Below are 15977 nucleotides of genomic sequence, written 5' to 3'. Positions count from 1 at the left end.
ACCTGGGAGGCAGAGGTTGCAGTGAGCCGAGATCGTGACATTGCACTCTGGCTTGGGCAACAAGAGTGAAACTCCGTTGCCCAAAAACAAACAAACAAACAAACAAACAAACAAAAACAGGAATAGGAGAGGCAGGATGAACGACAAGAGAACAGAACATCCTTTTCCCAATAATTGCATTTTTTCCCCCTAGGGCTCTTGTCAAAACCAGTATCACCTTTAGGATGCCTTTGATATTGTGCAGAATGCATTACTTTTGTGTATGTATGTGTGTGTGTGTGTGTGTGTGTGTATATATACACACACACACAATGTATATATATACACAGTGTGTATATATATACACACAATGTATATATATACACAATGTATATATATACACACAATGTATATATATATACACACAATGTATATATATACACACAATGTGTATATATATATGCAATTTATATATATATATAATTTTTATATATATATATATAATTTTACCTTTTCACATAGTAATATCAACATGAATAACTGTATACTTTATACAGATGCTCCTTGCCTTACCATGGGGTTATATCCTGATAAACCCATCATAAGTTAAAAATATTGTATATCAAAAATGCATGTAATATATCTATCCTACTAAACATCATAGCTTAGCTTAGGCTATCTTAAACACATTCGGAACACTTACATAAGCCTGTAGTTGGGCAAAATTATCCAACACAAAGCCTATTTTATAATAAAGTGCTGACCATCTCCTGTAACTTATTTGTTTATTTATTTGTTTATTTATTTATTGAGATGGAATCTTGCTCTGTCGCCCAGGCTGGAGTGCAGTGGTGCAATCTCGGCTCACCGCAACCTCTGCCTCCCAGGTTCAAGCAATTCTCCTGACTCAGCCTCCCGAGTAGCTGGAACTACAGGCACCCACCACCATGCCCGGCTAATTTTTGTATTTTTAGTAGAGACAGGGTTTCACCATATTAGCCAGGCTGGTCTCAAACTCCTGACCTTGTGATCCACCCACCTTGGCCTCCCAAAGTGCTGGGATTACATGCATGAGGCACCACGCCTGGCCCTTTTTTGTTTGTTTTTATGTAACTTATTAAATACTGAAAGTAAAACACAGAATGGTTGTATGGGTACTCAAAGTATGGTTTCTACTGAATGTGTATAGCTTTTACATCATGGTAAAGGGGAAAAAGTATAAGGACCCCCATCATACATTGGGGACTGTGTATATAATGTTTTCTATGTGCTTGACAATGTTCTAAGTGCATTTCATATATTAATTCATTTAATCTCCACAACAACCATATGAATTAGGTTGTTTTATTTCATAGGAAATGGGGCACAGCACAGTTAAGTAATGTGTTCATAGTCACAGAGCAAGTAGCAGATCAAGGAGTCAAACCCAGGCAGTCTGGCACCAAAGTACGTGCACTTCACAACATTATGCTGCCTTCCTCTTATTATTCTCATGACAAACCAGAGTAACCAAATACACCACACCGATAATGCCTAATTTAGGTTATCAGGACTTACTTGAAAGTTGCAAAGCGTGCCTATTATAGAATTCAGCCCAATAACTCCAGTTATCTCTCCCTCTCCCCACTAATTAAAGCTTCTCTTCAGTCTGCTTCAGGGATCTCTTAACCACCATTTTACATGTTTCCATGTGGAGGGCCTTATCCTAGAGAAACACCTTAACTCTCTCTCTACCCTTTCTTACTACTCCCCATGAAAGAAAAATTGGGTTTATCAGACAGGTGAAATTGGAAGAAGGAACTGGGGTATCTCTCGCCCTCTTCCTGCTCAGCAGGCCTGGGTGGCCAAACTCTGGATATTCTAAAGAAACGGTTGGCCTTTGACTGGTTCCTAGGAGATAACCTCTAAGTTCTTGGAATATCTTGTCTGACAAAGGTACTTTTTTTTTTTCCTGGGGTCCTAGACCACACAGTATCGGCTTGGTCTCTGAAGAAGCTAGAGACTGAATAACTAAGGTCAGCCAGCCACACGACTGCACCTTGTCTACAAAACTGACCCCCCAATAAAAATGCTAAACAAACAGCAAGGCTCAGATGAACTTCCCTAGTTGACAATGCTTCATTCATGTTGTTATTTATCATTGGTGGGAGAATTAAGCGCTCTCCATAGACCACCCTGGGAAAGGAAAATAGGAAGCTTGCGTCTAGTCTCTCCTGGACTCTGCCCTATGTACCTTTACTTGTTGCTGATTTTAATCTGTCCTTTCACTGTAATAAACTATAACCATGAGTATAACAGCTTTGCTGAATTCTGTCAGTCCTTGTAGCAAATTATTGAATCTGGAGGTGGTCTTAGGAACCCCTGACTACAGTTACTAATTCGCAAAAGCTATAACCAAACCATATGTTAAGCATTTACTGTTTCTCACTGACAGATTATATGATTCTGAAATCACCAGGTTAATGCTACAATCAGTTCCTGGGATTCGAAGTTCAGCAACAAAAATATAAACCTAGAGAAGGTGGAGAAAGAAGCCAGGAAAAAGATAAGCAATTTCAGGGATATCTCTTTCTCCAATTTTTTTTTAAATTTGTTGTTTGTTCATTTCTTTAAAAAAAAATTGCCAGGTTTTTATTTAAAAAAAAATTTTAGGCCAGGCACGGTGGCTCACGCCTGTAATCCCAGCATTTTGGGAGGCCGAGGCAGGTGGACCACAAGGTCAGGAGATCAAGACCATCCTGGTAACATGGTGAAACCCCGTCTCTACTAAAAATACAAAAAATTAGCCGGGCGTGATGGCATGTGCCTGTAGTCCTAGCTACTAGGGAGGCTGAGGCAGGAGAATCACTTGAACCTGGGAGAAAGAGGTTGCAGTGAGCCGAGATCGCGCCACTGCACTCCAGTCTGGGCGACAGAGCAAGACTCCATCAATAAATTAATTAATTAATTGGCTACTGGTACTCTACTGCTTTGACAAAACTCTCAATAGGAATAGGCAACTTTTCATTAGTAATTCTACCTTCGTTAGCAGAAAATTGACCTTGGGGTTATTTGGTAAAGCAGAAATAATGGCACTCTTCATTTCAAAAAACATTTTACGGAGCGCTTTAAATCTTTAAAAGGTTAATCAGATAAATATACTTCCTGTCTTGAAAGATCTTATATACAATGAAGGACATCAGCAAAGGAACAAACAATAAAACTGAAAAGCATAAGACACAACCAAAGGAATACAGTTAACATTAGTATAATTAAGAGATTTTCTGTTATTGTTTTTCTTCTCCTACTCCTTAAATATTATGGTAATGTGATTTAATTACCTGTTCACAAATTCACAAACAAAAGGGACCATTACTCAAGCTCTCTTTAATTTTCACAATAACCTTTGCAGTTTTACAGCTCCTATAAAATCTTAGGGAAGAAATTCTGAGTTTTCTTTTCTGAATCATTATTCCTTGAACTTATACTGTATAAGCCAGATGTAAGTTTACAAAATATCACATGTGAAAGTATTGACAGAACACTGATAATACAGAAGATAAAAGTGAAATGCATAAGAGCCTCCAATATTTTAAAAGTAAAATAGCAGATGGCTTGTTGCAGTGGCTCACACCTGTAATCCCAGCAATTTGGGAGGCCAACGTGGGCAGATTATCTGAGGTTAGGAGTTCAAGACCAGCCTGGCCAACATGGTGAAACTCCCATCTCTACTAAAAATACAAAAATTAGCTGGGCATGGTGGCAGGTGCCTGTAATCCCAGCTACTTGGGAGGCCAAGGCAGAGAATTGCTTGAACCTGGGAGGCAGAGGTTGCAGTGAACCGAGATTGCGCGATTGACTGCACTCCAGCGTGGGTGACAGAGCAAGACTCTGTCTCAAAAAAAAAAAAAAAGGAAAATAGCAGGCTCCTAATTATCTTGGAAAATCCACTACATAAAATTCTGATTTTATTCTATTTGCACATTCAAGAATTACTGATAATTTAAAGCAAGACTGTTGTATTAGTCCATTTTTATGCTGCTGATAAAGATATACCCGAGACTGGGGAATTTACAAAAGACAGAGGTTTAATGGACTTACAGTTCCATATGGCTGGGGAGGCCTCACAATCATGGCGGAAGGTGAAAGGCACATCTCACATGGCGGCAGACAAGGGAAGAGAGCTTGTGCAGGGAAACTCCCCCTTATAGAACCATCAGATCTCATGACACTTATTAACTATCATGAGAACAAGTACAAGAAAGACCTGTCCCCATGATTCCATTACCTCCCGCCAGGTCCCTCTCACAATACGTGGGAATTCAAGATGAGATTTGGGTGGGGACACAGCCAAACCATATCAACGTATTATTATAAGAAAAAATATATTTAACAAGTAAACAATACCATCTTACCTTATAATTTGAACTTATAAAAACGAACGTTTCAAGAAAAGAAGTTTCATAAAGGTTTATGACAATTTATTTGAATGGGATTTTCTGTGTCATTAAGAAAGATCACAGCACTTTGGGAGGCCAAGGCAGGTGGATCACGAGGTCAGGAGTTCAAGACCAGCCTGGGCAAGATGGTGAAGCCCCATCTCTACTAAAAATAAAAAATTAGCCAGGCGTGGTGGCAGGTGCCACTTGGGAGCTACTTGGGAGACTGGGGCAGAGAAGTGCTTGAACCTGGGTGGCAGAGGTTGCAGTGAGCCTAGATTGTGCCATTGCACTCCAGCCTGGGTGACAGAGTGAGACTCTGTCTAAAAAAAAAAAAAAAGAAAGATAAAATAATTACAAGATCTTTCATAAAATAGAAAATAGGAGGGAGAGGACAAAAATAATAATCTATCACACATATCACTGTAATACAATCATTTAGTTAATGCATTAATTTTATATAGAATTATAATTCAGGCTTTTCTTATTGAGTACTAAAGGTAATACTCAATATTCCATTAGGAGAACAAATTGCCTAGAATAAAATTCTAGCATTAACATTAAATGCCAATTAATCAACACAGCTGCCCAGTCTGCATTTCACTGTTGCGAGAAAAAAAGTATAAAAATGTTCATTTGATTCATTGCATGAAATACAACACTTTGGTTAGGGGAGAGGGGAAGAAGATGGATGAAATAAAATCTCAGAGATTAAACTGGAGGAAGAATGGTTAAGACGGACTTAAAAGGAAAAGAAAAATTACTGAGGAGAAAACAAAGAAACAAAAAACAAAGAGACTCTCTGCAGACAACCAAAAATATATATTCCTGTCTAAATAATCAGTGAGACATTTTAATTCAACTGAGCATTTTTTTTTAATTTTAAAAAATAGAGATGGGGGGCCAGGTGCAGTGGCTCACGCCTGTAATCCCAGCACTTTGGGAGGCTGAGGTGGGTGGATCACAAAGTCAGGAGATGGAGACCATCCTGGCTAACACCGTGAAACCCCGTCTCTACTAAAAATACAAAAAATTAGCCAGGCATGGTGGCGTGCGCCTGTAGTCCCAGCTACTCAGGAGGCTGAGGCAGGAGAATGGCGTGAACCCAGGAGGCGGAGCTTGCAGTGAGCCAAGATTGTGCCACTGCACTTCAGCCTGGGCGACAGAGTGAGACTCCATCTCAAAAAAATAGAAAATAAAACTAAAAATAGAGATGGGGTCTTGCTATATTGTCCAGGTTTGTCTTGAACTCCTGAAGTCAAGCAATCGTCCCACCTCCACCTCCAAAAGTACTGGGATTACAAGTGTAAGCCACCGCATCTGGCTGAACTGAGTAATTAACTGCCTCCTACGAGCAAGGATGTACAAGGCTCATTAAGTACTAAGAAAATCATGCAAAAGAGTGTTGCCCTTTTTGAGGTGTCTCTTTAGGAAGGCTTCTGCTCATCATTTTGGCCATGCTGCTAATATTCTAAACATTTCTGGAACTTCTTTTTGGAACTACATTCAATCAGTTTACAAACCAACATAAAGTTTTTAGTCACAGCTAGTACGAAAACAAACAACTTCAAGCCTTTTGACTGCTCTCCTCATAGTAGCAATATTTGGTCATTTCCTAGTGTCAATTCCACAGGGTCTTGCTCTGTCACCAGGTTAGAGTGCAATGACACCATCTTGGCTCACTGCAACCTCTGCCTCCCAGGCTCAAGCGATCCTCCCGCCTCAATCTCCCAAGTATCTGGGACTAAAGACATGTGCCACCATACTGGGCTAATTTTTAAATTTTTTTTTGTAGAGAGGAGATCTCACTATATGCCCAGGCTGGTCTTTAACGCCTGAGCTCAATCAATCCTCCCACCTTGGCTTCGAAAAGTGCTGGGATTACAGGCCTGAGCAACCACCCTTGGCCTCAGATTGATAACTAACCATCCTTGAGTCTCAAACCCTGAAAGCAAATTAGAAAGGGAAGTTCTACTAAAGTTTGGCTCCTCCCATTAAAGCTAGTGGCTATGAATGGGATAGTCTTAATTGGGGTTGGTGTAATTTTGATATTCATTTTTTAAATTTTGCACCTTTTCTTTTTATTCCGTCTCTGTTCCTCTCCCCATCCTCCCTCACTGGTTTTATATTTGTGAAAGCTCATAAACTAAAATACCAAAAAAGGTAAACACAGGGAATGGAAAGAAATACACAGGGAGGCCAGGCGTGGTGGCTCACTGCCTGTAATCCCAGCACTTTGGGAAGCTGAAGAGGGAGGATTCCTTGAGGTCCAGAGTTTGAGACCAGCCCAGACAATAAAGCGAGACCCCTAAGTCTACGAGGGAAAAAAAAATACAGGGAGAGGGAAATGATCATTGGAATAAATTGTTTCCTTGTTGAATGTAATGACCGCGCACTACACCGATCTAAGGACAAACACAGTGCACGGGGAAATCTGCAATCCTGGGCTGGAAGAGCTAGTTTCATGGGAACCCTAATTCCTTGACACTTGCAATTAACCAAAGATATGCACATGCCTAAAACCAAAACCTGGTGTGAATGAGGGGAAGGGAGGAGGAGGGCTGCATTCCCCAAATTCTCTCGCTATTATTTTCTTTTAGTGTTGATCTTCCAGACTGGCACAACTCACATTTCAGGGCACTGAAAGCCAGCTCATAAGACAAACGCTGAAAGGACTGATCCTCAGACTCGGACAAGGACCGCAGGGGTTCATTCCCATACTTGATTAAGACTTTCTGTGCCGACTTTTCGATTCGAATACCCTGAAAAATGTTGGCTGCCATGACATAAACGGAGTCCGGATAGCCCGTTTTTTCGGGCACACCAGCTGAGCTTTTCCCACCGGACAGAGGCAGGGAAGTGAGTTGGGAGATGATCTCGGGATCTTCTTCGTTCGAAAACTCCAGTTCGCCCGTGGAATTCAGCATGTCTGCCCCTCGCCTGTCGTGAGTCCTTCACCCTGGGGTTAGAATTCCGATGTTCCAGGAAACGGCTTTCCTCGCATCTGCAGCATGGTCTCTGTGAAGAGAGAAGGTGATTGCAGTAAATCACTCTTTCTGCAGCACCCCTGTGGGTGGCCCCCTTCGTTGTGGCCTTAAAGACTAAGAGGGAGCATTTCCCGTCCCATCTGAGTGTCCCAGACTTCGAGCCTGGGACGCTCAAAAAAAAAAAAAAAAGCGAGGAGGGGTGCAGCGGCGGAGGGAGAAGAGCCCCAAGGAGACCGACGGCTTCCCTCAAGCCAGTCTGGGGGCAGAGCTGCCCCCGGAGCCCCGTCCGCGTCCCCACAGCCCAGTCACCGGCTCCCCCGACTCCTCCCTTACCCCGAGGGCGGATGGTTCCCGGGGCTTCGGGGACGAAGACGCGGAGGGCGGCGTCGGTCACAGGCCCTTGGGAGCCCCGGGACTGCGGGGCGACGGCTGCTGCCCGCGAAGGCCGTTTGGTTCAAATGCAGCCACTCCCACCGGCAGGATTCGGGGCAGGGGGGTCGCAGCCTCTGGCGCCCGGTTCGCTCCGGTGTCGTGAAGTGGTGGGCGCCTCGGGGCCTCGCCTGGCCTCGCGCGTGAGGCCTTCGCGGACGTGGCGGCGAAGAGGGGTGAGCGCGGTGCCCGGGGTCTGGCTGGCTCAGGCCGAGGAAAGCTCAGCCTCCCGAGTCTCCGGCAGTCGACTGCTCCCGGACCGGGTCTTCATGGCAACCGCGAGCGGAGGTGGGGCAGGGGGCGCGGCGCGAGGGCCGTTCCCGCGGGATTTGGCGGGTGCTACCTGTTGCCGGGAGAGTCGCTCTTCCCCCAGCGCGCGGAGACACCTGTTTCAGCCCCTCCGAGCCAGAGGCCTCTTGCACAGTTCCTGGACCTCACCGGGCCTGAGTGCGTGCCCTTGGCTTTGTTTATAAACATTTGGGGATATTTTTGAGGTAGTCTGACGTAGTTCCGTGGTTTTAACTCACAAGTTCCTGAAGTCCCTGTTAAAACTACACATTCTTTAAAATATTTTTAAAATATAGTAATAATTTTTTTTTTGAGACATGGTCTCGCTCTGTCGCCCAGGCTGGAGTGCAGTGGCGCAATCTCGGTTCACTGCAGCCTCCTCCTCCCGGGTTCACGTGATTCTCATGCCTCAGCCTCCCGAGTAGCTGGGACTACAGGCGCCCGCCACCACACCCTGCTAATTTTTGTATTTTTAGTAGAGACAGGGTTTCACCGTGTTGATCAAGTTAGTCTCGAACTCCTGACGTCAAGTGATCTGCCGGCCTTGGCCTCCCAACGTGCTGGGATTACATGCGTGAGCCACTGCGCCGTCTGTAATAATTTTTTTTAATAACAGAGACAGGGTTCCCATTATGTTGCCCAGGGTGGTCTCGAATTCCTGGGCTCAAGGAGTCCTCCCTCCTCGGCCTCCCAAAGTGCTGGGATTTCAGGCGTGAACCACCGCCTCCAGCTAAAAAAAAATCCTTGGAACCCATCCTAGAGATTTGAGTTGCTAAGACCCAGTAATTTGCATTTTTATCAGGTAACTGGCGATTCTGATGCAATCAGCCCAAAGACCACAGTTTGAAAAACTCTGGTATAGTTGAAAGACAACTGGTCCTAATTCCACCTCTGCCTTTCCTCCTTAGGGATTTGCCCTTCCTTCTTTAGGCTAAGGCCATTTCCATTTCCAGCCAGTGGTTAGTAGGATGAAGGGGAAAGAGAGGGCAGCCCATATTTTTCAATGACCTGAAAGGTGCACATATCACTTTGGCTCACATTTTATTGGTCAGAACTCAGTCATATACCCAGCAACCAAGAGGCTGGTAAATGTGTCCAGCTAAAAATAAGGGAACTATTACTGTAGAAGAAGGAGAGAATGGATAATGGGGAAAAAATTAGCAGTACAGAACTCTAACCCTGACCCCTTCTCTCAGAAATCCACCCACTTTCATTATCCCCGGAATACGTTAAACATTCCGTAACATTTTATGTATACATGCATTCATTCGTTCGTTTAACAAGTATATATTAAATTCTTGCTGTGTCCCTGGCATTGTGTTCAGCCCTACAAGTAAAATAATGAATGTATAGAAATGATCAGACACCTGACCGGGCGCGGTGGCTCACGCCTGTAACCCCAGCACTTTGGGAGGTCGAGGCGGGCGGATCACGAGGTCAGGAGATCGAGACCATCCTGGCTAACACGGTGAAACCCCGTCTCTACTAAAAATACAAAAAAATTAGCCGGGCGTGGTGGCGGGCGCCTGTAGTCCCAGCTACTCAGGAGGCTGAGGCCAGAGAATGGCATGAACCCGAGAGGCGGAGGTTGCAGTGAGCCGAAATTGGGCCACTGCACTGCAGCCTGGGTGACAGAGCCAGACTCCGTCTCAAAAAAAAAAGAAATGATCAAAGACCTTGCCCTCAAGAAATTAAAGATGGATATATTTGTATTTTGTCACCTTTTCATTTTTGTTATAAAGATTCGTGTACATACCTGCATTACCCCCCTTCTGCCATCTTTCTATCCACACAACACACACACTCTAAAATAGTCTTGTTTTATCTTTATCTTTTCATTTTTATTATATATCTTTTTTATTCCCAGATGCTAGCAAAATATCACTCTCTTTCACATACAGACATTCACAGAAGATTACAAATATGGAAGGTGTCTTAGAGGTCATGATATATTTTATCATGCATCACCCAGTACACAGTGATGTGAGGCAATAGCTAGCTATAAACTTTGAAATATTGTCATTCAAAATATAATTTGAAGAGTTTATTTTCTTTAATAATAGTTCAATGTAAGTAACAGTTTACTATATTGAAAACAAGGTTTAACGAGTCTCTATCCCCAAGGTAGAGCTTAGGCAAAGAGTTGTGGGGTTAGCAAATTCATGGTTACTATTTACTTTAATCATGTATATAATCCTGCCTCCTTACTTCTCACTCCTGGTTTATAGCCTCATTGTGGACTTAATGTATTTGAGGGGAGGGTCAGAGGAGAGCATATTAAATTTCAGTGAACACTGTAAAAAAGTAACCATAGAGACAGGCATATGAGTTCAATTGTTGTGAAAGCAGGATAGTAAAAAAAAAAAATGTAGTTTTTGTTTAAGTTACACTCTGTAATATGACCAGAGCATTAAATCAGACATGAGGAGAAAATCAAAATGTACCTGAGGCTTTCTGCCAAAGGAAATTAATGATTTTTCTTTCCCCAGGGGGTAGAATATTTAAGATATTTGTAAATTAACATTCTTGCATTTGACTCAGAGTACTAGTATATGTTAGGCATGTGAATATTCAAAATACATCTGCTCACTTGCATCAATTTGATCTAGACAATATAAAACGGTGCCCAGTTCCAATGAAGCCTGTTACAGAAATATAAAAAGCATAAGAAACATAAAGAATCTTAACTTGTGTTCTTAAACACCAGGACTCAACTTCCAGTTATTGCTTCTTAGAAACAGTATGGTAAATTTTCATTGCAACACCTTTTGCAGATTCCTCTGTCACCTAGGCTGGAGTGCAGTGGTGTGATCATAACTCATTGCAGCCTTGAACTCCTGGTAGCTCAAGCAATCCTCCTGCCTCAGCCTCCTGAGTACCTGGGACAACAGGCATGCCACCACACCCAGCTAATTGTTTTTTACTTTTGTAGAGGTGGAGTCTCACCATGTTACCCAGGCTGGTGTCCCCCGAGCTTAAGGAATCCTCCCACCTTGGCCTCCCAAAGTGTTGGGATTATAGGCATGAGCCACCATGCTCAGCCTTTAATTATTTTTGTTTTATAAAGTGTTTTATTGTAGACCTAAGCTATATCCAATTGAAACTCTGGGGACTAGGGCAGGCCATCAGGATTGCCATTTGAGGATCATTTGGGCCTTGTGGGTAAGGTACATTTGGGGGCTGACGGTCAGATGCTGAGTTATTACATCCCCAGAGGATGAAAGGGAATAGATGCTCAAGAAAGCATCACCTGAGGTAGATGAACTTCGTTCTGTGATACTGGGTGAAAGTTGGTATGCAGGAACACTTTACATATGCTAGAGAGTAGCCTACTCAAGTGTCCTCTTAATACTTAGCCAAAAGATTAGCCAAAGAGTCATAACCACTTGCAGAGGAGAAAAAAAATTCTCCCTTAATTTGGATGCAGAAGATTCTAACGAAGCTGATTCCTGAAGGGTGGTGCAAGTGGAGAAGAATGGAACTCCACACCATAGCAGTTCAGAGACAGCACCGTTAGAAAGAACACTCTTGATATTTAGAAGCCAAAAATGACAAGAGCAAATAAGGAGGAGTTTGAGTGACCTAGGATACAAGGGGAAAGAAGATTCAGGGCCGGGCGCGGTGGCTCATGCCTGTAATCCCAGCACTTTGGGAGACTGAAGCGGGCGGATCACCTGAGGTTGGGAGTTTGAGCCCATCCTGACCAACATGGAGAAACCCCGTCTCTACTAAAAATACAAAATTAGCTGGGCATGGTGGTGCATGCCTGTAATCCCAGCTACTCGGGAGGCTGAAGCAGGAGAATTGCTTGAACCTGGGAGGCGGAGGTTGCGGTGAGCCAAGATCGTGCCATTGCACTCCAGCCTGGGCAACAAGAGCGAAACTCCATCTCAAAAAAAAAAAAAAAAAAGATTCAGGAGAGTTGTCATTCCAGGTCTTGATTACAGTAGACAACCATTTGTAACAGATTCTAGCAACACAGTGTTTCCTGGAGTTAGTCACTCAAGCACTGCCTTCATGATTTTTTTTTTTTTTTTGCCATATATACATATACAACCATGTATAGTATTTACTCAATATTTTACTTTAAATCAGATTCACTTTCTTAAATTGAAAACTAAAAATGGAAAGTCAGCATTATTTGCCATAAATGAAAGCAACCACCACAAAAGCAGAACAATACTGTTAAATGCTAGCTAGAAAAGGTTGTGCCATGTCCCCAGGCTTGAGGTTGATGGTTCTTTATTAAAAAGGGAATGGACAGTGTCAGAGAGGTGTTAAACACTCGTACAAAAATGAGACTTTATCCTTGTCAGAAGGATTGAAAAAGCATTATATAAAGCAGCTTTCTCACTGTGTGATTAAATGTTATTCGATGCCAAATCTGCATACTACTCAAATCATCTCCCATACTGTCAGTGGTGCTGACCTCACACTTTGGGCCAAACACTGCATTGAGAAACTTGAATTCCACCAGGCGTGGTGGCTCACATCTGTAATCCCAGCACTTTGGGAGGCTGAGGCAGGCGGATCACTTGAGGTCAGGAGTTCAAGACCAGCCTGGCCAACATGTTGAAACCCCTGTCTCTACAAAAAGTCCAAAAATTAGCTGGGCGTGGTGGCGTGTGCCTGTAATTCCAGCTACTAGGGAGGCTGAGGAAGGACAATTACTTGAATCCAAGAGGCAGAGGTTGCAGTGAGCTGAGATTGCACCACTGCACTCCAGCCTGGGCAACAGAGCAAGACTCTGTCTCAAAAAATAAAAAGAAACTTGAATTAAAGAGTTAGAGGAACAGGCTAGGCACAGTGGCTCACTCCTGTAATCCCAGTGCTTTGAAAGGCCAAGTTTAGAGGGTCACTTATGGGCCAGGAGTTCTAGATCAGCCTGGGCAACTTAGCAAGTCCCCATCTCTACAAAAAATAAAGAAATTACCTGGCCTTTTGGCACGTGCCTGTAGTCCTAGCTCCTTGGAAGGCTGAGGTGGGAGGATGGCTTGAACCCAGGAGTCCCGAGGCCACAGTGAGTTATGATTGTGCCACTGCACTCCAGCCTGGGCAACAGAGGGAAACCCTATCTCTTATAAAAAATATATATATTTTTTAAAAAGTTAGAGGAACGGTGCTTCCCCTGCAGCAAAAGAGAGGAAATACAAGAAAATCAGAACTGGCAAAAAAGAAATTAGGAAAATCTCATGTCACACATGAATTCAGCCCATTTATATGATCCTGTAATAGTGGGAATTTTGAAACTAGAGAGACTCAATGGACCTGGTTTCTAGTTTTAATATTATCAATTAGTTGTATAACACCAGGCAAGTCTCTTCACTCTTTATAGCTATTTCCTGATATGTTCAAGTCTACGATTTATTTACTAAGAAAATAGTGGGTGGAGAAGGATTTGAAGAGACTGAGAAGGATTGGCCATCAACAGGAAAAAGTGATAGGAAGTCAAAAACAAAAATAAATGTTTTAGGTTGCTTAGCAACAATGAGGCCCTCGCTGGCATAGGCACAGTGTCACTAAAACACTTTGGAGGCATGCATGGCTTGATGTGGTACAAAAAGATCTCTCCACATTTAGGACTTAATTAAGGAAGCAAGAAAGAATAAAAGTAAGAAATCAGTTTACCAAATATCATTAAAAGTATGTGAGCACATTAATTAATAAACTCGTGCCTGATGCCAGGCTTAATACTAGTCTGGCAGAGATGGTGCCAATTAAAATGTCGTTGGTTAAAGTATACAAGGTGCTTATGGTATGTCATTGCTCTTATTTTCTATTTTGATGAGAGTTTTGTGATTTTTACACTGCTATAGAACAAACAGAACTGTAACTTGTATTTCATATTGTTTGTAGCTGATTTTGCATACTTCGAGGAGTTTAAAAAAATCGTTTTCTCCTGAAATGTTATGGGGTAGCTTGTGCACCTTGTGCATACTCCTTCCTTACAACTTAACCAGCATGGTTTATTATTATGTCCTTTTCAGAAAATGGAGATAAATAGGCCGGGCGCGGTGGCTCACTCCTGTAATCCCAGCACTTTGGGAGGTTGAGACGGGTGGATCACCTGAGGTCAAGAGTTCAAGACCAGCCTGGCCAACATGGTGAAATCCTATCTCTACTAAAAATACAAAAAATTAGCCTGGCGTGGTGGTGTGTGCCTGTAATCCCAGTTACTCAGGAGACTGAGGCAGGAGAATCCCTTGAACCCAGGAAGCGGAGGTTGCAGTGAGCTGAGCTTGTCCCACTGTACTCCAATCTGAGTGACAAAAAAAAAAAAAAAGAAAGAAAAAGAAAATGGAGATAAATAGGCCAGATGCGGTGGCTCACGCCAGTAATCCCAGCACTTTGGAAGGCCAAGGCCAGCGGATCACTTGAGGCCAGGAGTTTGAGACCAGCCTGGCCAACATGACGAAACCCCGTCTCTACCAAAAAGACAAAAAAATTAGCCAGGTGTGGTCACGCATGCCTGTAGTCCCAGCTACTCTGGAGGCTGAGGCACGAGAATTGCTTGAACCCCGGAGGCGGAAGTTACAATGAGCCGAGATCACACCACTGCACTCCAGCCTGGGCCACAGGGTGAGACCCCACCTCCAAAAAAAAAAGAGGGGAGGGGAGAGGAGAAGAAAGTGGCTGGTGAGGATTTAAACAGGTATTTTTTAATGGCAGAAGGAATAGCAGGTCAATGAGATGAAGGTTCCTGAATTATGGTTCCTGGTCTTGGATTTTCATGCAATTTTTTACTCCCTTACTGCCATCCTTCACCTTCCAATACCTTACCATTGCTTATGCTGTTCTTCCTTGTGACCAAATCTGAACAAAAGAGGCTGAAGGTAATTGGTAAAGAAGGAAGACTAGTGATGAAATTCAATGGCTTGAAGAGTCAGAGTGTTTTCTGGAAAAGGGGATATTAATGTTGTCATCAGCTATCTTCCTAAGCCATTCCTGGGGCCATATTGATGTTTTGCTTCTGGGGAGTGATTTTGTAAATGTATTACTCAATATAAAAGGTAATTTTTTCCTTTAGTTTTTCTAAAACTACCCCTAAAGGCCTCATTACATGTTTGTTCTCTAGACTCAGTGGTCAGCATTGATGAATTTCATTTCTATCAAGGTTAAGGACATTAAAATCTAAGGACAAAAATATTTCTAGTCACTGAAAAACTCAGCAAGATTAATTTTTTCTCCCTGTTTTATTTCATTCATACCCTTCATTCATTAATTCATACCTTTCATTCATTACATTATAGTAAGAGATGACATAAATGAGGCAAGCAGCCTCAAGAAATTAAAATTTGTGAAGTTTTAATACCTATATTGTCAATTTTATACTGAAGCTGTATTTGTAAGTTTTTGACAAAGGTCCATATAGTTAAACTTCTTTGGATATCTATTTAATGTATTTTCACTCTAATCTTTATTTTCTTCCTTCTGCTTTTTTCTAATTTCATTTGCTCATCTTTTTCTAGTTTCTTAAAGTGAAAAGTTAGGTTATTGATTTGATACCTTCTTTATTAATAGGCATTTACAACTATAAATTCCTTCTGAGTACTGTTTCTATTGCATCCCATAAGTTTAGTATGTTCTGTTTTAATTTTTATTCATCTCAAAGTATTTTCTTGTTTCACTTGTGATTTCTTTTTTGACCCATTGGCTGTTTAGGGGAATATTACTTAATTTCCACATATCTCTTAATTTCTCAAATTTCATTGTATCATTGATTTCTAATTTTGTTCTGTTGTGTATGAATGGTGAACATAACTTTGCATGACTTTCATCCTTTTACATTTACTGAAGCTTGTTTTATGTCCCAACACATGGTCTATCCTGGAAAACATTCTGTGTATGGAATATGCAACAGAAGAATGCATATTCT

At 42.3% G+C, this 15977-nt stretch overlaps 1 protein-coding gene across 8 annotated transcripts in view; it reads right to left on the bottom strand.

Moving 5' to 3' along the window:
• The window catches only part of NSUN7 (NOP2/Sun RNA methyltransferase family member 7), a 61230-nt gene extending 53167 nt beyond the window's left edge, over positions 1 to 8063 (bottom strand). For all 8 annotated transcript variants that reach the window (XR_007057964.1, NM_024677.6, NM_001330648.3 and 5 more), the window contains exons 1-2: positions 7718 to 8063; positions 7027 to 7415 (exon numbers count right to left, since the gene is read on the bottom strand). Coding sequence is in view for 7 of the 8 variants with exons in the window: in NM_024677.6 (NP_078953.4) it covers positions 7027 to 7324 (298 nt within the window). In the remaining variant the exon portion in view is untranslated. The remainder of the gene's footprint in view (positions 1 to 7026; positions 7416 to 7717) is intronic.
• Positions 8064 to 15977: the final 7914 nt, after the last annotated feature.

Source organism: Homo sapiens, chromosome 4 (genome assembly GCF_000001405.40).
Source record: "Homo sapiens chromosome 4, GRCh38.p14 Primary Assembly".
NCBI classification, from domain to species: Eukaryota; Metazoa; Chordata; class Mammalia; order Primates; family Hominidae; genus Homo; species Homo sapiens.
Note: the sequence above shows the minus strand (reverse complement) of the source record. Positions and strands in the feature narration are given on the sequence as shown.